Source organism: Homo sapiens, chromosome 19, assembly GCF_000001405.40.
Source record: "Homo sapiens chromosome 19, GRCh38.p14 Primary Assembly".
In the NCBI taxonomy this organism is placed as follows: domain Eukaryota; kingdom Metazoa; phylum Chordata; class Mammalia; order Primates; family Hominidae; genus Homo; species Homo sapiens.
In genome coordinates this window covers 14,500,294-14,521,289 of record NC_000019.10, presented here as the reverse complement: position 1 = coordinate 14,521,289, position 20,996 = coordinate 14,500,294, and the positions used below count along the sequence as shown (strand labels likewise).

At 51.5% G+C, this 20,996-nt stretch overlaps 1 protein-coding gene across 7 annotated transcripts in view, besides 3 other annotated features; it reads left to right on the top strand.

Annotated features, from left to right (window-relative positions):
* DNAJB1 (DnaJ heat shock protein family (Hsp40) member B1) overlaps positions 1-6,521 on the top strand; it is a 45,623-nt gene extending 39,102 nt beyond the window's left edge. For 5 of the 7 annotated variants that reach the window (XM_047438745.1, XM_006722733.3, NM_001313964.2 and 2 more), the window contains 2 exons: positions 4,244-4,824; positions 5,120-6,521. In XM_047438745.1, the coding sequence (XP_047294701.1) occupies positions 4,333-4,824; positions 5,120-5,350 (723 nt within the window). In that variant the 5' untranslated portion in view covers positions 4,244-4,332 and the 3' untranslated portion in view covers positions 5,351-6,521. Of the gene's footprint in view, positions 1-2,892; positions 3,152-3,352; positions 3,700-4,243; positions 4,825-5,119 lie in introns of those variants that run through there. The other 2 variants (NM_006145.3, NM_001300914.2) reach the window with 2 other exon arrangements.
* Positions 870-1,599: an enhancer, noted in NCBI's record as "NANOG-H3K27ac hESC enhancer chr19:14630503-14631232 (GRCh37/hg19 assembly coordinates)". NCBI's record gives its function as "activates a minimal SCP1, AML or CMV promoter by ChIP-STARR-seq in naive H9 embryonic stem cells {active_cell/tissue: H9 hESC(naive)}" and the evidence as "EXISTENCE:reporter gene assay evidence [ECO:0000049][PMID:30033119]".
* Positions 2,512-2,831: a silencer, noted in NCBI's record as "silent region_10257". NCBI's record gives its function as "represses an Ori minimal core promoter by ATAC-STARR-seq in GM12878 lymphoblastoid cells {active_cell/tissue: GM12878}" and the evidence as "EXISTENCE:reporter gene assay evidence [ECO:0000049][PMID:35858748]".
* Positions 3,042-3,611: a silencer, noted in NCBI's record as "silent region_10256". NCBI's record gives its function as "represses an Ori minimal core promoter by ATAC-STARR-seq in GM12878 lymphoblastoid cells {active_cell/tissue: GM12878}" and the evidence as "EXISTENCE:reporter gene assay evidence [ECO:0000049][PMID:35858748]".
* Positions 6,522-20,996: the final 14,475 nt, after the last annotated feature.

The window sequence follows — 20,996 nt, the reverse complement described above, 5'->3', positions numbered from 1 at the left end:
ACGGGGTTTCACCACGTTGGCCAGACTGGTCTCGAACTCCTGACCTCAGGTGATCCACCTGCCTCAGCCTCCCAAAGTGCTGGGATTATAGGCGTTGAGTCACCGTGCCTGGCCTATGGCAAGAAACTTTAGAACAACCAGAAAGGCCCACCCAGAGCCATGTTAAAGCCTTTGGAGGCTGCTGCACTTGTAATTCTAAATTAAATTTATATTATAAAATACTAGTTTATAAAGTCACAAGCTCTGAGTTTTTCCCCATAATGCTCCTGATAGTTATTTATATAATTTTTTTATGGGGAGGTTCAGGATCTCACTGTCATCCAGGCTGGAGAGCAGTGGCACAATCATAGCTGACTGCAGCCTCAAATTCCTGGGCTCAAGCTATCCTCCTACCTTGGTCCACTGAGTAGCTGGGACTACAGGCTCACATCATTGCACCCGGCTAATTTTTTTTATTTTTAATTTTTTGTATAGATGGGGTCTCACTATGTTGCCCAGGCTGGAACTCCTGGCCTCAAAAGATCCTCCCACCTCACCTTCCCAGAATGCTGGGATGACAGGCGTGAGCCACTGTGCCCAGCCTAGTAACTTTTTAAAAAATATCAAGTTCTCTCTCCCCATAATTGCTTCAGGACCCCTGCTCAAGTATGGTTCTCGATGTCTAGGGAATTTCAGCCCCATCCTCCCGGGTTGTCCAGTTCTAGTCCAGAGTTCTTGCTGATGCAGTTACCTCAGAGATCATTGAGTGGGCCAAGAGAACCAGATCTGCCTGCTGGATGCTCCTGATAGTTATTTATGTAACTATCCGCCATGATGCTCCTGATAGTTATTTATGTAACTTTTTTATGGGGAGGCTGAGGGTCTCACTGTCACCCAGGCTGGAGTGCAGTGGCACAATCATAGCTGCCTGCAGCCTCAAATTCCTGGGCTCAAGAGATCCTCCCGCCTCAGGAGGCAGGAGGATGGTCTTCTTCTTCAGGAGTCCCTGTCTGCCCAGGGGCAGCTGTCACTGGAATCTTTTAGCTGCCAGGAATGAGGTGATGGCTGAAGAGCCCACCACTAAGAAAATGGTTAGTCACCCCTTTGACAATGCTTCCTTTGTGCCATGCCTGCTCTGAGCACTTTGCAAATGTTGACTCATATAAACTTCAAAGCCCTCATGATGTGGGCACAACTGCTATCCTCATTCCTCATTGTGCAGATGAGGAAGCTAAGGCCAGCAAAGGCCTAGTAACTAACCCAAGGTTACCCAGCCGGGAAATGCTGGAGCTGGGAATGAAGCCCAGCTGTCTGGTTCCAGAGCCAGTGTTACATGGCTCTGACCTCCCAGGCAGTTCTTCCAGGAACCTCCCCCACTTCCCTGGGCCCTTCCCAGGTGGAACCCCTTTCTGAGCCTCCTTTTCCCATCAGCTCTGTCCTTGACAGAGGCACCCCAGACTTTCAGAGCCAAACGCGATCGTGTTGCCTACAATTGAGGAAACAGAGGCCTTGAAAGGTGTGTGACACACCTATGTCCCCCCAAATTATAAAGGTAGTTGGGGAAGAAAAAGAAGCACGTGTGTAAGAACGGGGAATATTTATGAGGTTCTCACTGCGTTCCAGGCACTGGGGACCCAGTGCAGACAGGACCTGGCCCCTGCCCAGGTGGCGATGTCAGACTGGGAGGGAAGACACATTGAAAGCCAAGAGACAAGATAAATTTCAAATTTAGCGGCAAGTGATCTTGAGAGGGCAGTAAAGGGAAGAAGGCGGGACTGGGAGGACCTTGGGAGATGCGCTTCCGTCCAGATCCTCACCTTGCTTTAGGAGGTGAGAACAGAGGCAGTCTTCCGTCCCAAAATCCTTCTCCCCACGGTTGGGAGAATAGCGCTGGTGGGTTTTTTGTTCATTTTACTTTATTTTACTTATTTTATTTATTTATGAGACGGAGTCTCGCTCTGTTGCCGAGGCTGGAGTGCAACGGCCGGATCTCGGCTCACTGCAACCTCCGCCTCCCCGATTCAAGCTATTCTCAGGCCTCAATCTCCTGAGTAGCTGGGATTACAGGTTCGTGCCACCAACGCCCGGGTAATTTTTATATTTTTAGCAGAGATGGGGTTTCACCATGTTGGCCAGGCTGGTCTCGAACTCCTGACCTCAAGTGATCCGCCCGCCTCGGCCTCCCAAAATGCTGGGATTACAGGCGTGAGCCACCGCGCCCGGCCTGTTTGTTAATCTTAAATAGAAACGGAGTCTCCTTATGTTGCCTAGGCTGGTCTCCAACTCCTAGGCTCAAGAGATCCTCCTGTCTTGGCCTCAGGAAGTGATGGGATTACAGGCATGAGGCTCCGCGCCCGGCCTGATAGGTTCTCTTATTGCCATGTTGTAGATAGAAGGGGGCCCCTGGGTTAGGCAGACACAGGTTAGGTAGTTCGTCCGGCGTCACCGGGCGGGAGCCCACCGCAGGCCCCACGAGACAAGGGCGAGCAGGTTCATCGCCTCCCGGGGAAAGGACTGGGTAGTCCCAGGCCCCACCCCTTCCTGGAACAGCAAGTTCGCTGTGGGTCCCGACCTACTGACCCAGGCGGAGGGCGGGACGCAGGGTAGCTGGGGCCGCGTAGAGAGGGAAAGAAGGTCGCGATTGGCTCGTCCCGAAAGGTGGGCGGGGCCTCCTCCGACCTGTGCGCGCGCGCCGCGGGGAGGTGTTGCCGAGGGCGGAGCGGGAGGGGGCGTGGCCCCGCGCGGGCGGCCGTTGACGGCGAGGCCCCGCCCCGGATGTCGCGTGTCGCTGAAAGGGCGGCGGCGATTGGCCGGCGCCGCGGGGGCGGGCGGGGCGGAAGGTTCTGGAGGGGGCTGGCGGGCTCTGGAAGCTTCCGCCGGACGGGTATATAGAGTCCGGGACTGGTCGGCGGCGGAGCCGGGGGACGGCGACAGCGGGTCGGCGGGCCGCAGGAGGGGGTCATGGGTAAAGACTACTACCAGACGTTGGGCCTGGCCCGCGGCGCGTCGGACGAGGAGATCAAGCGGGCCTACCGCCGCCAGGCGCTGCGCTACCACCCGGACAAGAACAAGGAGCCCGGCGCCGAGGAGAAGTTCAAGGAGATCGCTGAGGCCTACGACGTGCTCAGCGACCCGCGCAAGCGCGAGATCTTCGACCGCTACGGGGAGGAAGGTGTGTGCTCGCGGCCAGGGGCGCGGCCCCGCCTTTTGACAGACAGGGAAACTGAGGCACGCTGGCCCCTCTCGGCGGCCCCCCGGGAAGGACGCCCCGGGCCGTGGGGCCGAGCTGCCCCGCCCTCCGGCCTCGCGGGCCTCCGCCCTCGGATTGGCGGCCGCGCGGTGGGAGGAGGAGCCTTGGCCCAGCCGCTCGGCCAGAAGCTTCTAGCATGTCTGGGGCTGCCCCTCCCCGGGCGCCTCCTCCCGCGGCCCCGAGCAGCCCCGGGGTGCGGTGCATGGGGGTGGGGGAGCCGGGGGTGACGACGGGGACGGCGCGGCGGAGCCCGCTGCGGACCCGGGCTCACCTGGGCTCGGCCGCCGGGGTCCGCGGGGCGGCGCCTCCGGCTCAGCTGCGGGGCGAGGGGTTGTGAATGCAGGAGCCGACCCCGTTCGTGGGCTTGGGGGCTGGGTTGGGATAATTCCCGGGAAGTGATGACCTGGCCCCGGCAGGGCACGCAGGAGGCAGCGGCCGCCCAGGTCCGGAGAGCGGGGCCGCCTCGGAGGGTAAGGAGAGCAGGGCTTTTTGTTCCTGTGCCCGTTGATGATTCAGGCTGGCTTCTGGGCTTGATCTGGAGCTGACTTTTTGTGCAAGGATGGTGGCAGTGAATGCTAATGTGTGAGGATTTAAAAACTCCCTATTTATTTTTGTTTTTTTTTTTCTTCTCTTCCTACGCACCATTAGCCCTAAAACGTTGAGAGTAAACACTTACCGAAAGCCGACCCTGGACCATGTGTCTTTAGCCATCTCTTGGTGATGTTGCCAGGAGGATGGGTCAGTCCAGGAGTGGCAGGGCCTAGGTGGCACCTGGAGGTGAACACCTAACCGCATGAGTCCTTTTCCACTGTCAGGCTACGCGGAAATACTGTTGGTAGGGGGGCGTCTCTGCTGTTGGCAGTGAGAGGTAGAAACTTGGGGTTCTTCCTTGCTCTCCCCTGACAGACAAAAAAGTTCCTCCCCCATGGCTTCCAAGCTGTTTCCCCCTGTAAGGGAAGCTCGAGAGAGAGTCTGCTGTTCAGCCATCTGACTGCTTCTAAATCTGCTTTTCAGGCCTAAAGGGGAGTGGCCCCAGTGGCGGTAGCGGCGGTGGTGCCAATGGTACCTCTTTCAGCTACACATTCCATGGAGACCCTCATGCCATGTTTGCTGAGTTCTTCGGTGGCAGAAATCCCTTTGACACCTTTTTTGGGCAGCGGAACGGGGAGGAAGGCATGGACATTGATGACCCATTCTCTGGCTTCCCTATGGGCATGGGTGGCTTCACCAACGTGAACTTTGGCCGCTCCCGCTCTGCCCAAGAGCCCGCCCGAAAGAAGCAAGATCCCCCAGTCACCCACGACCTTCGAGTCTCCCTTGAAGAGATCTACAGCGGCTGTACCAAGAAGATGAAAATCTCCCACAAGCGGCTAAACCCCGACGGAAAGAGCATTCGAAACGAAGACAAAATATTGACCATCGAAGTGAAGAAGGGGTGGAAAGAAGGAACCAAAATCACTTTCCCCAAGGAAGGAGACCAGACCTCCAACAACATTCCAGCTGATATCGTCTTTGTTTTAAAGGACAAGCCCCACAATATCTTTAAGAGAGATGGCTCTGATGTCATTTATCCTGCCAGGATCAGCCTCCGGGAGGTAAGGTGCCAGGTGGGGCGGTGTCTGTAGAGGGCGATGGCTGCTTTTTGAAGCAGTTTAGTATTTGCTGAACCAATGTGTTGGGGTGTGTGGTGCGTGCCAGGCTTGGGGCACAACAGTGAACAGGACTGACCAGGGCGCTGTTGTGGAGCTTTCGTGGTGGGGACGTGTAGATTTGGGGGCCAGGTCTTAGCTGCAGAGGCCTGATGGGTCTTATCTATGGCAGACGGCCTCTGGGCAAGAGCTGAGCCTCTTGAGCCAGCTTCCATCTAATGCTGTCCTTTTGCTTTTCAAGGCTCTGTGTGGCTGCACAGTGAACGTCCCCACTCTGGACGGCAGGACGATACCCGTCGTATTCAAAGATGTTATCAGGCCTGGCATGCGGCGAAAAGTTCCTGGAGAAGGCCTCCCCCTCCCCAAAACACCCGAGAAACGTGGGGACCTCATTATTGAGTTTGAAGTGATCTTCCCCGAAAGGATTCCCCAGACATCAAGAACCGTACTTGAGCAGGTTCTTCCAATATAGCTATCTGAGCTCCCCAAGGACTGACCAGGGACCTTTCCAGAGCTCAAGGATTTCTGGACCTTTCTACCAGTTGTGGACCATGAGAGGGTGGGAGGGCCCAGGGAGGGCTTTCGTACTGCTGAATGTTTTCCAGAGCATATATTACAATCTTTCAAAGTCGCACACTAGACTTCAGTGGTTTTTCGAGCTATAGGGCATCAGGTGGTGGGAACAGCAGGAAAAGGCATTCCAGTCTGCCCCACTGGGTCTGGCAGCCCTCCCGGGATGGGCCCACATCCACCTCCAGTCCCTGGCCAGGGGTGAGAGGCAGACCAGCAGATGGACTTGATCCCTCTGTGTCTTTTTGCTTCTGGCTGGTAGATAATGTCAACCTGCAGTCTTGATTCCCAGACCCTGTACACTCCTCCTTTTCTGTTGTGTGATCAGTTTGTGCTTTATTCTGTATTTGTCTCCCATGTCTTGCTCTTCTCCTGGAGAATTCTGTCTTCTCTTTGGCCATCTCAAATTGAGAACCTAAACTATTCCTGCAGAACTGCCTGGTTGGCGTCCACAAGCAATACCTCTCGTTCCAGCAGGACCAAGGGAGCCAGCCTCCAGTGAGTGACTCCAGCAAGTGCAGCCACCTCTCCCTTGATGGTCTGGGAGCCTGGCCTCAGCAAGGGGCCTTCCTGACCTCTGGCTCCAGTGAAGCTGAATGTCCTCACTTTGTGGGTCACACTCTTTACATTTCTGTAAGGCAATCTTGGCACACGTGGGGCTTACCAGTGGCCCAGGTAATTTTTTGTTTCATGGACTATGGACTCTTTCAAAGGGATCTGATCCTTTTGAATTTTGCACAGCCCTAGATACAATCCCTTTTGATAAAAGGGTCTTTGCTTCTGATTACAGGAGCACTGTGGAACGTCTGTAAATATGTTTTTATAATTCCATGTATAGTTGGTGTACACTCAAAACCTGTCCCCGGCAGCCAGTGCTCTCTGTATAGGGCCATAATGGAATTCTGAAGAAATCTTGGGGAGGGAAGGGGAGTTGGAACAAATGTCTGTTCCCTGGAGGCCAGTCCAGTGCTCAGACCTTTAGACTCATTGTAAGTTGCCACTGCCAACATGAGACCAAAGTGTGTGACTAGTCAATGAAGTGCGACAGCATTAAAGACTGATGCTAAACCTCAGGGGAGCGGTCCTGTGACTCTGTTTGAGGGTTCTGCTGGTTTTGGGGGTGGAGTGGGGAGCTGGGCATCCTTCCAAATTCAATCAAGGTGAGAGGGTGGGATGGGCAGGAGGCAAGTGCCCTGCAAGGGAAACGTAAGTCTCCCTTCCTCAGCCATAAGTGGGTTGGAGAACTTCTACCCAGACTCGGGGTCCAAAAAACCAGAGACCCAAGCACAGTGGCCTTGGGGATCATTTTTTGATGAAGGTTGGAGTCAAAGTAGCGGTGGGGAGAGGCAGGGTCTGGCTCCTAATTCTGCCTTTCTTCAGGGTCCCTGGCTTTTTCAGCAGACCTTGGCTCTGGGGCCAAGGGGCCAACCCAGGGTCTGGCCTCTTAATTCCTTATCACTCCTTCCCTGCTAGAACGGGCTGGGCGTCCTGAAGGCTGGCCAAACCGGAGCTCAAGGTCCTGCCCAGGACTAGCCCCACTGTAGAGAGGACCCATTTCCTGCCTTGGCTTTATTTGCAGGCTACTAAAGCTGCTTTTACTTTGTAACTTTCTTTAAAATAACTGGTTTTATTATAAAGTAATTGCTCAGGCTTAAAACAATGTATTGCTGCTTTGTTACAAAATGTTCTAAAGTGGAAACACTGTATATAGACCAGGAGCAGTGGCTCAGGCATGTAATCCCAGTACTTTGGGAGGCCAAGGTGGGTAGATCCCTTGAGCTCAGGAGTTTGAGACCAGCCTAGACAACATTGTGAAACCCCATCTCTACAAAATTTAAAAATTCAGCCGGAGAATGCAGCGTACACCTGTAGGGCCAGCTATTTATGGGACTGAGGCAGGAGGATCAATTGAGCCCAAGAGGTGGAGGCAGTAGCAAGCTGTGTTTGTGCCACTGCACTCCAACCTGGGTGACAAAGTGAGACCCTGTATCAAGAAAAAAAAACTAAAACACAGTATCCAAAAGTCAAACTGGGCCAGACGCAGTGGCTCACACCTGTAATCCCAGCACTTTGGGAGGCCAAGGCGGGCAGATCACCTGAGGTCAGGAGTTTCAGACCAGCCTGGCCAACATGGTGAAACCCCGTCTCTATTAAAACAAAAAGCCAGGCGTGGTGCACGTACCTGTAGTCCCATTTACTCAGGAGGCTGAGGCAGGAGAATCACTTGAACATGGGAGGCAGAGGTTGCAGTGAGCAAAGATCCCACCACTGCACTCCAGCCTGGGTGACAGAGCGAGGCTGTGTCTCACAAAAAAGTGTCAAGCTAAGAGTTGCTTTCCCTTCCCACTGAAACAGTTGAAGCGCTGAAAACAGGCTAGGGGCAGCCCTGCCAGTCCAGGAGAACTTTCTGCAATGACTAGAACGTTCTATATACCGTTTACTTAAACATCTTACAAATTCAATAAAATTAGAATCAGTTCCTCAGTCCTGCCACACTTCAGTTGCTTAGCAGCCACACATGTATGTGGCCAGTGGCAACTGTTGGACAAGTCAAGTCTAGAGGGCTTTTCCCTAAAGACATTGCAGGGGTGACTTTGAAGAGCAGCCACATTAAGCCAGGAGACGCCAGCCCAATCAGGAGGTGACCCTGGAATATCAAGAGCTAAGAGATGTTTACCAAAGTATCCCACACGCCAAGGTCACATTTATTGCGGAACTGACCTGACCTCATTGGTGACACAAATCCCAGGGCTGCCATCCCCACCCCCAAGTCTCCATTATACACCAAGTCCCTGTGAACTTCATACTGAAGTGTCACAAACATAAAGGTGCACGAAGCCTTGAGGTATATACAATTCTGGGAACTTCACAAAAAACACGGCCAAGCAACCTACCAGGTAGCAGTGTGAGGAGTGGGACGGTGGGATTTTGAGGGGAAAATCTTGGTGGTAAAAGGGCCCAAAGACCTTTCACACATGCATTTTTTTGCTCAAAGGCCACTACTTGGCTTGTCTATCTTGGCCGGATATCTGGTGCACCCACATGCAAACTTTTCCCAAAGTCTTGGGCTTGTTTTTTTTTTTTTTTTTTTTCAGACAGAGTCTCGCTCTATCCAAGCTGGAGCGCGGTGGTGCAATCTCGGCTCACTGCGATCTCCACCTTCCAGGTTCAAGCAATTCTCAGCCTTCCAAGTAGCTGAGATTACAGGCGTGCGCCACCACGCCAGGCTAATTTTTGTATTCTTAGTATAGAGATGGGGTTTCACCATGTTGGCCAGGCTGGCCTCAAACTCCTGACCTCAAGTGATCGGCGCCCCCTCGGCCTCACAAAGTGCTGGGATTACAGGTGTGAGCCACCGCACTCAGGATTTTTTTTTTAATTTCTTTTTTTGAAGACAGGATTTCACTCTGTTGTCCAGGCTGGAGTGCAGTGGTAGGATCATAGCTCACTGCAGCCTCAAACTCCTGGGCTCAAGCAATCCTCCCGCCTCTCAACCTCTTGAGTAGCTAGGACCACAGGCACTCCACACCACAACCAGCCAATTTGTCTAATTTTTGTAGAGATGATTTGTTGATATGTTAACTTTTTTGCGGGGAGGGGGATGGAGTCTTGCTCTGTTGCCTAGGCTGGAGTGCAGTGGTGCAATCTTGGCTCACTACAACCTCCACTTCCCGGGTTCAAGTGATTCTCCTGTCTCAGCCTCCTGAGTAGCTGGGACTACAGGCACATGACATCACGCCCAGCTAATTTTTGTATTTTTACTAGAGATGGGGTTTCATCATGTTGGTCGGGATGGTCTTGATCTCTTGACCTCGTGATGTGCCTGCTTTGGCCTCCCAAAGTGCTGGGATTACAGGCGTGAGCCACTTCTACCTTCCTTTTTTTTTTTTTTTTTTTTTAATTTTTTTTCCTGAGACGGAATCTTGCTCTTTTGCCCATGCTGGAGTGCAGTGGCGCAATCTCGGCTCACTGCAACCTCTGCCTCCTGGGTTCAAGCGATTCTCCTGCCTCAGCCTCCCGAGTAACTGGGATTACAGGCGTGTGCTACCATGCCTGGTTAATTTTTTATTTTTAGTAGAGACTGGGTTTCACCATGTTGGCCAGGCTGGTCTTGAACTCCTGACCTCAAGTGATCCACCTGCCTCGGCCTCCCAAAGTGCTGGGATGACAGGCGTGAACCTGCGCTGGCCGATATCTTGATATCTTGATATGTTGCTCTGGCCCCAAGCGATTCTCCCACCTTGGCCTCCCAAAGCTCTGGGATTATAGGCTCAGCCTTGGGCTTTCTTTAATGGATTTATTTCACTTTTCCATGCTGCATCTCTGATCAGGTCTCAGAGCTCCTTCCATGACAGGACGTGTGCAACTGACTCATTCTTTGACCCACCTGCATTACAATACCAGCAGTGTTTTTTTTTTATAATCATAGAACAGCACTCAATAGGTCCATTTGGCCTATGGTGAAAAGCCGAGTCCTCCCATCCTTCCCCTGGCCCTGAAGTTCCCCATCCTACTGCACCACTATAGACACTGGCATTGGCATCACAGATTTTTTTTTTTTTTTTTCCTTTTCTCATTTTTGAGACAGAGTCTCGGTCTGTCGCCAAGGCTGGAGTGCAGTGGTGCAATCTCGGCTCACTGCAACCTCTGCCTCCCAGGCTCAAACGACCCTCCTGGCTCAGCTTCCCTAGTAGCTGGGATTACAGGCGCGTACCACCACGCCCGGCTAATTTTTGTATTTTTAGTGGAGACAGGATTTCATCATGTTGGCCCAGGCTAGTCTCAAACTCCTGACCTCAAGTGATCCGCCCACCTCAGCCTCCCAAAGTGCTGGGATGACAGGCGTGAGTCACTGCACCCGGCCTTTTTTTCCTTTTTTAAAAAAACCATTTTTGTGCTTCCTCCAAGAGATGAGTCTGTGCTTACATAAGCATAAACACAATTTCTAAATTTTCAGTTTTATTTTTTGACTGTGTAATCACAATACAACACTGGAAAGGATACAGAGAGTGAAAGTCCTCCCTCCCACCCTACCATCCGATTCCACACCCCCGAACTGGATACGAATGTTCCCCGTCTCTCCTGCGCCTTTCCTGAGATGCTGCGGGGAATACATTTTTCTTTTTTTACACAAGGAGTACATACTGTACACTCCGCTTTTTTTTTTTTTTTTTCTCACACAAGATGCTGTGAACATAAAGAGCTTCCTCATTCCTGTGCTATTCCCCACCTTTATTCTGGCAGGTCCACCCAGCTGGGTGTGAAGATCTAAATTAGTGTTTGGCGACCCCTGACTCCTCTCACATCGTTCTTGCTTCCGGATTTGAGTCCCAGTTTGATTGCTTGCTTTTGTTTTTTTTCTTTTCTTTTCTTTTCTTTTCTTTCTTTTTTTTTTTTTTTTTTTTGACACGGAGTCTTGCCCTGTCACCCAGGCTGGAGTACAATGATGCAATCTCAGCTCACTGCAACCTCCGCCTCCCAAGTTCAAACAATTATCCTGCCTCAGCCTTCCGAGTAGTTGGGATTACAGGCACCCGCCACCACACCCAGCTAATTTTTGTATTTTTAGTAGAGATGGGGTTTCACCGTGTTGGTCAGGCTGGTCTCGAACTCCTGACCTCAGGTGATCCACCCTCCTAAAACGTTAGCTGAGCATTAGCCAGGTGTGGTGGCTCATGCTTGTAATCCCAGCTCTTTGGGAGGCCGAGGCGGATGGATCACTTGAGGTCAAGAGTTCAAGACCAGCCTGGCCAACGTGGTGAAACTCTGTCTCTACTAAAAATACAAAGCTGGGCGTGGTGGCAGGTGCCTGTAATCCCAGCTACTCAGGAGGCTGAGGCAGGAGAATCGCTTGAAACTGGGAGGTAGAGGCTGCAGTAAGCCCAGATCCCACCACTGCACACCAGCCTGGGTGACAGAGCAAGACTCTGTCTCGAAAAAAAAAAACAGAAGAAACGGGAAACAGAAGTGCAGCTCTCATAGAGATGCTGTGACATCTGGGTGAGTTAGTGCATTTAGGAAACAAAAGAACATAGCGATGAAGAACCCAGCTTCTGGGGTAGGGGGGTGCCAAGTCCAAGTTCTGCTCACCACATTTCCTCAAACAAATGACAAAACCTTTCAGAGCCTCAGTTTCTTCCCATGTATAACAGGACTAATCAAACATCGCAGCCCCTCCTTTCTCACTCTTCTGGAGCTAGAACTCAGACAGCTAATCCCTGAGAAGCGCTTTATCCAGGCCAGGAATAGAGCAAGTGTGAATAACATTAGCAAATATATCTAAAGCACTTGGCAGAAAACCTGCCCCAGGCCAGGCGGAGCAGGTCATGCCTGTAATCCCAGCACTATGGGAGACCACCATGGGTGGATCATTTGAGGTCAGGAGTTCGAGACCAGCCTGGCCAATGTGGTGAAACCCCATCTCTACTAAAAACTGAAACATTATATCTAAAAGTCAAGCTGGGCCGGGCACAGTGGCTCATGCCTGTAATCCCAGCACTTTGGGAGGCCAAGGCGGATGGCTCACCTGAGGTCAGGAGTTTCAGACCAGCCTGGCCAGCACAGTGAAACCCCGTCTCTACTAAAATTACAAAAATTCGCTGGGCATGGTGGCAGGCACCTGTAACCCCAGCTACTCCAGTGGCTGAGGCAGGAGAATTGCTTGAACCCAGGAGACAGAGGTTGCAGTGAGCTGAGATTGCCCCACTGCACTCCAGCCTTGGTGACAGAGTGAAACTCTGTCTCAAAAAAAAAAAAAAAGGAAAGAATAAAGGAAATCTCAATGCACCAAACTTCCACTAAATACTAAAAATGGGCCAGGCGCAGTGGCTCACGCCTGTAATCCCAGCACTTTGGGAGGCCGAGGTGGGTGGATCACCTGAGGTCAGCAGTTCGAGACCAGCCTGGACAACATGTTGAAACCCTGTCTCTACTAAAAATACAAAAATTAGCCAGGCGTGGTGGCAGGTGCCTGTAATCCCAATTACTCTGGAGGGTGAAGCAGGAGAATCGCTTGGACCTAGAAGGTGGAGGTTGCACTGAGCCAAGATTGTGCCACTGCACTCCAGCCTCGGTGACAGAGCAACACTCTGTCAAAAAAAAAGAAAGAAAGAAAGAAAGAAAAAAAAAACACCTAAAAATGGCACAACACAAACAAGAAGCATCTATCTATATTCTCTATTAAAATCTAGGCCTTGGCTGGGTACGGTGGCTTGCGCCTGTAATCCTAGAACTTTGGAAGGCTCAGCTGGGTGGATCACCTGAGGTCGAAATCTCGCCACTGCACTCCAGCCTGGGCGACAGAGTAAGACACTGTCTCAAAAAAAAAAAACAAAAAAACTAGGCCTTAAAGAGCATGCACTCATCTTCTCTCCCACAGACCTGAGAGCACTTTCTTTCTTTTTTTTTTTTTTTTTGAGAAGGAGTCTCACTCTGTCACCTAGGATGGAGTGCAGTGGCGCAATCTTGGCTCACTGCAACCTCTGCCCCCGAGGTTCAAGCGATTCTCCTGCCTCAGCCTCCTGGGTAGCTGGGATTACAGGTGCATGCTGCCACGCCCAGCTAATTTTTTATATTTTAGTAGAGACAGGGTTTCACCATGTTACCCAGGCTGGTCTCGAACTCTTGAGCTCAGGCAATCCACCCGCCTCAGCCTCACAAAGTGCTAGGATTACAGGCGTGAGCCACCCCTCCTGGCTGAAAGTACTTTCATAGTCTGTTGACATCACACTTGCCCAAGGGGAAGCAGAGGCTGATTTCTCAAACTCCCTGATTATTAGTTGAGACACCTTCCCTCTTTGTCAGTGGGGCAGGAGAGACAACGGCAGGAGAATACTAAAAAATGTCCCCCGCTTTGTGGCAACTGTGAGTTCCCTTGAGGTCACCAACTACATCCTAATAATCTGTATCACCAGTTGCCAGAGTGATGCTTGCCCCGGAACTGACCCTTTGAGTGTTTGTTAAGTGAGTAATTAAGTGACAAAGTAATTCAGACAAGAGGACCTGCAACATTTTTCCTACGATAGTTCATGTCATGGTATGTGCAGAGGAAGGATAACCCAGCCCTCGGGTCAGCTAGTAGTCCCCACCACCCTTGCCAGGGACCCCACCCCCATACCCCAATTCCTTCAGCTTTCCCACCAGGGAGAAGCAGATATTCAGTCCGGGAGAGCCCCTCTTTCCTGAGGGACCTGTTTCTTTTTTTCTTTTTCTTTTCTTTTTGTTTTTTTTTTTTTTTTTGAGACCGATACTTGCTCTGTCATCCAGGCTGGGGTGCAGTGGCATGATCTCAGCTCACTGCAACACCTACCTCCCAGATTCAAGCAATTCTCATGCCTCAGCCTCTTGAGTAGCTGCGACTACCGGCACCCACCATCACGCCCAGCTAATTTTTGTAATTTTAGTAGCAACGTGGTTTCACCATGTTGGCCAGGCTGGTCTCGAACTCCCGACCTCAGGTGATCTGCCTTACCTCGGCCTCCCAAAGTGCTGGGATTACAGGCGTGAGCCACCGCGCCTGGCATGGGGGACCTGTTTCTACTTCACAATCTGTAGACTAGTCTATGGGCACAGTTCCTGAGGGACACCTCAGTGCTAGGCTCAGGAGATGCGCCAAGCAGAAAACTTGGCCATCTGGCATAGGGGAGGGAGGATGGAGCTCGTGAAACTCACAGTCTCCTAGGAAACACACCTGTGGGTTTCCGTTTCCTAGGGCTGCCACAACAAACTGGGTGGCTTCAAACGACAAGTAATTTGTTGTTGGTGGTGGTGGTGTTGAGACAGAGTCTCACTCTGTCGCCCAGGCTGGAGTGCAGTGGCGCGATCTCAGCTCACTGCAGCACCCGCCTGCCAGGTTCAAGTGATTCTCCTGCTTCAGCCTCCCAAGTAGCTGGGATTACAGGCACACATCACCACGCCCAGCTAATATTTTGTATTTTTAGTAGGGATAGGGTTTCACCATATTAGCCAGGCTGGTGTCGAACTCCTGACCTCAGGTGATCTGCCCGCCTCGGCCTCCCAAAGTGCTGGGATGACAGGCATGAGCCACTGCACCCAGCTTGCTTGTTTGTTTTGAGACAGGATCTCACTCTGTTGCCCAGGCTGGAGTGCAATGGCACAATCAGGGCTTACTGTAGCCTCGATCTCTTGGGCTCAAGCGATCCTCCTATCTCAGCCTCCCAAGTAGCTGAGACCACAGGCATGCACCATCATGCCAGCGTAATTTTTAAATTTTTTGTAGAGACAGGGTCTCACTGTGTTGCCCAAGCTGGCCTCAAACTCCTGGGCTCAAGCAATTCTCCTGCGTTGGCTTCCCAAAGTGCTGGGATTACAAGCATGAGCCCCTGTACCTGGCATTAACAAGTGAGGACGGCTTTCTCCTGGCTTCTGGTGGTTTCAGCAATCCTTAGCCTCCTTGGGCTTGTAGCTGCATCGCTCCAATCTCTGCCGCTGCCGTCCCGTGGCCCTCCCCTCTGTGTGTCTTTGTGTCTTCTCCTTTTCCATCTCTTATAAGGACACCCATCATTGGATTTCGGGGCCAGCCACCCTAATCCAGGATGATCTCATCTCGAGATCCTCCACTGAATTACATCTTTGAAGACACTTACTCCAAGTCAAGTCACATTCACAGTTCTGGAATGTGGACATATATTTTAGGGTGGGGCATCATTCAACTCATTAAACTGACCGAGCCACTTCCCATAGCCCGCAGCGTGGAGGGGAAGACGCCTGGCAGGCCCTGGACACACAGGCCAAGGGACAGGAGCTTGTTAGGGCGCAGGGAGGGGCTCCTGGAGCCAAGGCCCGGGGAAGAGGCCCCTAGGCTGGAGATCTGGGAACCACTCCCCCACAGGGCCATCCACACACACACACACACACACACACAGGCCTGGTGTGACTGGAATCGAGAGAACAGGAGAGAGCAGGGCAGGGCGTGTCTAGGAATGAGACAGGCCAGGCCCTGCATTCCTGAGTTGGAAGAGAAATTGAGAGTTAGGAGGGACAAGGCCTGATTTGCTTTTACCAGGAAGACAGAGCTGGGACCTGGGTTGTTTGCCTTCATGGGGCCCCAACGTTCCCCAGGAATATTATGCTGGACATCAATGTAGCCAGGCGTGACACCTGAAAATAAAAAACACTTTGGCTCACAGGGGCAGGTTCTTTGGGGGCTCATGGCCTCCTGGGGGGAGGTCCTCCGTAGAGAAAGGAGGTGACCTGATTTGGGTGCTCACGGGCGCCCCCTGGCCTCTGTGCGGAGAACTGACCGTAGGGGTAAGGGCAGAGCGGGTGGACCAGGACCGAAGCCATTCACCGCACCACCAGGCAGGAGGTGATGGGGCTGGCTGGACCGGGAGAGGTCGGAGCAGGTGGGGCGAAAGTAGCCCAGGATTTTTTTTTTTTTTTTTTTTTTTTTGTCTTGAGACAGAGTCTCGCTCTGTCGCCCAGGCTGGAGTGCAGCGGCGCAATATCGGCTTGCTGCAACCTCGGTCTCGGGGGTTCACGTGATTCTCCTGCCTCAGTCTCCCGAGTATCTGGGAGTACAGGCATGTCCCACCACGCCCAGCTAATTTTTGTATTTTTAAGAGAGGTGGGGTTTCACTATGTTGGCCATGCTGGTCTCAATCTCCTGACCTCAGGCGATCCACCCACCTTGGCCTCCCAAAGTGCTGGGATTACAGGCATGAGCCACCGCACCTGGCTGATTTTTTTTTTTTTTTGGCTTTGTTTTGTTTTGTTTATTAGAGACAGGGTCTCATTCTATTGCCCAGCCTGGAGTGAAATGGTGCGATCATAGCTCACTGCAGCCTCGACCTCCTGGACTCAAGTCATCCTCTTACCTCAGCCTCCCAAGTAGCTGGGACCACAGGCACGCACCACCACACCCACCCAAGAATACATCTTGGGGCCGGGCACGGTGGCTCACACCTATAATTGCAGCACTTTGGGGGGCTGAGGAGGGCGGATCACTTGAGGTGAGGCGTTTAAGACCAGCCTGGCCAATACGATAAAACATCATCTCTACTAAAAATACAAAAATCACCCAACCAATCAGAGAGCTCACTAAAATGCTAATTAGGCAAAAACAGGAGGTAAAGAAATAGCCAATCATCTATCACCTGAGAGCACAGCGGGAGGGACAATGATCGGGATATAAATCCAGGCATTCAAGCCAGCAATGGCTACCCCCTTTGGGTCCCCTCCCTTTGAATGGGAGCTTTGTTTTCTCTCTATTAAATCTTGCAACTGCAAAAAAAAAAAAAGAAAAAAAAATCAGCGGGGCCTGGTGGTATGCACCCGTAATCCCAGCTACTTGGGAGGCTGAGGCTGAGAATCATTTGAAACTGGGAGGCCAAGTTTGCGGTGAGCTGAGATCGTGCCACTGCACTCCACTCCAGCCTGAGCGACATAGCCAGACTTTGTCTTTAAATATATGTATGTATGTATGTATGTATGTATGTATGTATGTATGTATGTATATCTTGGGCCAGAGATGAGATAGGTGGCTCCCTCCTGTAATCTCAGCTACTTGGGAGGAGGCTGAAGCAGGAGGTTGAGCCCAGGACTTCAAAATCAGCCTGGGCAACATGGCAAAACCCCATCTCTATGAAAAATACCAAAATTAGCTGGGTGTGGTAGGACACCCACTCGAGCCTAGGAGGTCAAGGCTACGGTGAGCTATGATGGCACCACTGCACTTCAGCCCGGATGACAGAGCGTGACCCTGTCTCAAAAAAAAAAAAAGAGAGAGAAGAAAAGAAAATATTGTGCCTATAAGAAAAGCTTTTTAAAAATATCTGATGTGTCTGTGAGTTTCACTGTCATTGCTTGCCCATTGGGATTTAAAAAAAGGAAAAGAACAGAAAAGAAAGTAGTGCTGATAGGACGTGCTGCTGACAGAGCTGGACTATGAGAGAAAGGTAGGAGTCGGCTGGGGCAGTGGCTTATGCCTGTAATCCCAGCACTTTGGGAGGCCAAGGCAGGAGGATCATTTGAGCTCAGTAGTTTGAAACCAGCCTTGGCAACATGGTAAAATCCCATCTCTACAAAAAATTAAAAATTAGCTGAGTGTAGTGGCCCGTACCTGTGGTCCCAGGTACTTGAGGGGCTGAGGTAGGAGGATTGCTTGAGCCCAGGATGTTGAGGTTGCAGGGAGTCATGATTTTGCCAGTGTATTCCAGCCTGAGTAACAAAGCAAGACTCTGTCAAGAAAGAAAAGAAGAGGAGAGGAGAGGGAAAAGAAAGGAAGGAAGAGGGAAAGGGAGGAAGGGAGGGAGGGAGGGGAAGGAAGAAGGAAAGGAAGTAAGAAAAAAAGGAAAGGAGAAGAGAAGAGAAGGAAGGAAGGAACGAAGGAAGGAAGGAAGGAGAGAAAGAGAGAAAAAAAGGAAGGAGAGAGAGGAAGGAAGGTAGGTAGTATTTAAGTCTTATTCCAAGGTTTGGGGCCTGATCAACTGAAAGAATTGCTATCACCATGCAGGGGAAGACAGGGTAAATGGCACATTTGGGGTGTCAATCAAGACCTCAATTCCAGATGGGTTCAGTTTGAGATGCCCTGAGATGTCCTTATAGAGAAAGCAAGACAGAGAAATACCTCAGGAGTTCAGGGAGAAGGGCTGGTGTGGTGTTTATCATCACCACTGTTGCCATTTGTTTCTCTTTGCTTCTGCAAAGACCCCTCTAGAAAACAGTGTGACCTGCAGAGCTGCTGGGTGTCACTTCCTAAAACCCAGCAGTCAAAGGCAGGTGTCAGGCCGGGCGCAGTGGTTCACGCCTGTAATCCCAGCACTTTGGGAGACTGAGGCAGGTGGATCACCTGAGGTCAGGGGTTCAAGACCCACATGGCAAAACCCTGTCTTTACTAAAAATACAAAAATTAGTCAGGCATGGTTTTGGGTGCCTGTAATCCCATCTACTCAGGAGCCTGAGGCGGGAGAATTGCTTGAACCTCCGGGAGGCAGAGGTTGCAGTGAGCCAAGATTGCGCCACTGCATTCCAGCCTGGGAGACAGAGCAAGACTTCTGTCTCAATTAAAAACAAACAAACAAACCAAAAAGGCAGGTGACAGTGCTGGGGCTGTAACCTGAGGCCACAGGACTCAGCCCTGCCTCCAGGATCACCTGGCTGGGGCTATGTCCCTTGGTGCTGTCCCTCCTGTCCCCCACATCTCAGTCCGCCCTGTCCCCAAAGTTGAAGAAAGTAGAACTCACTCCCTTGAGGGACGTCTCATGTCCTGGGGTTGGAGCTAAGATTCCACATCGATGAGTTACTGTGCATCTTTCAGCTCATGTCTCCCCTCTCTGAGCCTCAGTCTCCTCCTCTGTAGAGTGGGGGTGCTATCAGTCCCATCCCCAGGAGCTCAACATGATCCAGTGAAATTAGACATGAAAAGCGACCAGCACAGAGCCTGACACACAGCGAGGATCCAATACAGGTTTCTATTTCTATGGTGTGTCCATTATGACATATTGCGTCTATCTATGATTGTGCCCTCAGCACATTTTAGTAATGGCAGCTGGTATGCAGTAAGTGCTTACTATCTGCCTGGCACCATCGGGGCATTTGACATGGAATAGCCCATTTAATCCTAACATGCTGATAACCACCTAAGGAGGTGTGTACTATTATTTATTTTATTTTGTTTTTTTTGGAGACGGAGTCCCGCTCTGTCTCCCAGGCTGGAGTGCAGTGGGATGTTCTCAGCTCACTGCAACCTCCGCCTCCGGAATCAAGCTAACTGCGACCTCTGCCTCCCGAGAATCAAGTGACTCTCCTGCCTCAGCTTCCAGAATAGCTGGCATTACAGGTGCACGCCACCATGCCCAGCGAATTTATATATATATATATTATATATATATTTTTAGACGGAGTCTTGCTCTGTCACCTAGGCTGGAGTGCAGTGGCAGGCTCTCGCCTCACTGCAAGCTCCACCTCCCGGGTTCACGCCATTCTCCTGTCTCAGACTCCTAAGCTGGGACTACAGGCGCCTGCTACCACACCCGGCTAATTTTTTTATGTTTGGTAGAGACAGGGTTTCACCATGTTGGCCAGGATGGTCTCGATCTCCTGACCTCGTGATCCACCCGCCTCGGCCTCCCAAAGTGCTGGGATTATAGGTGTGAGCCACCACGCCTGGCCTGTATTTTTACTAGAGACAGAGTTTTGCCATGTTGGCCAGGCCGGTCCCAAAGTCCTGACCTCAGGTGATCCACTCACCTTGGCCTCCCAAAGTACTGGGATTGCAGGCATGAGCCGCCACACTCGGCCTTTTTTTTTGAGATGAGGTCTCACTTTGTCACCCAGGCTGTAGTGCAGTGGAGTAATCTCGGTTCACTGCAACCTCCACCTCCCAGGTTCAAGCGATTCTTGCGCCTCCTGAGTAGCTGGGATTACAGGTGCACACCACCATACCCGGCTGATTTTTGGCATTTTTAGTGGAGACAGGGTTTCTCCATGTTGGTCAGGCTGGTCTTGAACTCCTGGCCTCAAGTGATCCACCTGTCTCGGCCTCCCAAAGTGGTAGAATTACAGGTGTGAGCCACCACGCCCGGCTGGTGTGTATTATTATTATCTCCATTTTACAAATGAGGAGACCGAGGCACAGAAGAGGATGGGCTTCACACAAGGTCACAGAGCTGCTGAACAGCACAGGTTATGGAGAAAAAGAAGACCATTCTACCCCACAACCTCAGGTGGACTACGGATGGAATAAAGACTCAGGAAAAGTAACACCATAGAATGGGCCGGGCACAGTGGCTCATGCCTATAATCCCAGCACTTTGGGAGGCCAAGGTGGGCAGATCATGAGGTCAGGAGTTCGAAACCAGCCTGGCCAATATGGTGAAACCCTGTCTGTACTAAAAATACAAAAATATTAGCCAGGCGTGGTGGCATAGCCTGTAATCCCAGCTACTCGGGAGGCTGGGGCAGGAGAATTGCTTGAGCTCAGGAGGCAGAGGTTGCCGTGAGCCGTGATCACGCCACTGCACTCCAGCCTGGGCGACAGAGCAAGATTCTGTCTCAAAATAAATAAATAAATAAATAAATAAAATAACAAAACCAAAAAACGTAGAATGAAGAAATGAAAATGGGGCCAGGCGCAGTGACTCACGCCTGTAATCCCAGCACTTTGGGAGGCCAAAGTGGGCAGATCACGAGGTCAGGAGATCAAGACCATCCTGGCTAACACGGTGAAGCCCCGTCTCTACTAAAAATACAAAAAATTAGCCATACATGGTGGCGGGCGCCTCTAGTCCCAGCTACTCGGGAGGCTGAGGCAGGAGAATGGCATGAACCTGGGAGGCAGAGCTTGCAGTGAGCCAAGATCGTGCCACTGCACTCCAGCCTGGGAGACAGAGCGAGACTCCGTCTCAAAAAAAAAAAAAAAAAAGGAAACTGTGGAAGAGTCAGGTGCGGTGGCTCACTCATGCCTGCAATCCCAGCACTCTGGGAGGCCAAAGCGTGCGGATTACTTGAGGCCAGGAGTTCAAAACCAGTCTGGACAACATGGTGAAACCCGGTCTTCACTAAAAAATACAAAAAATTAGCTAGGCATG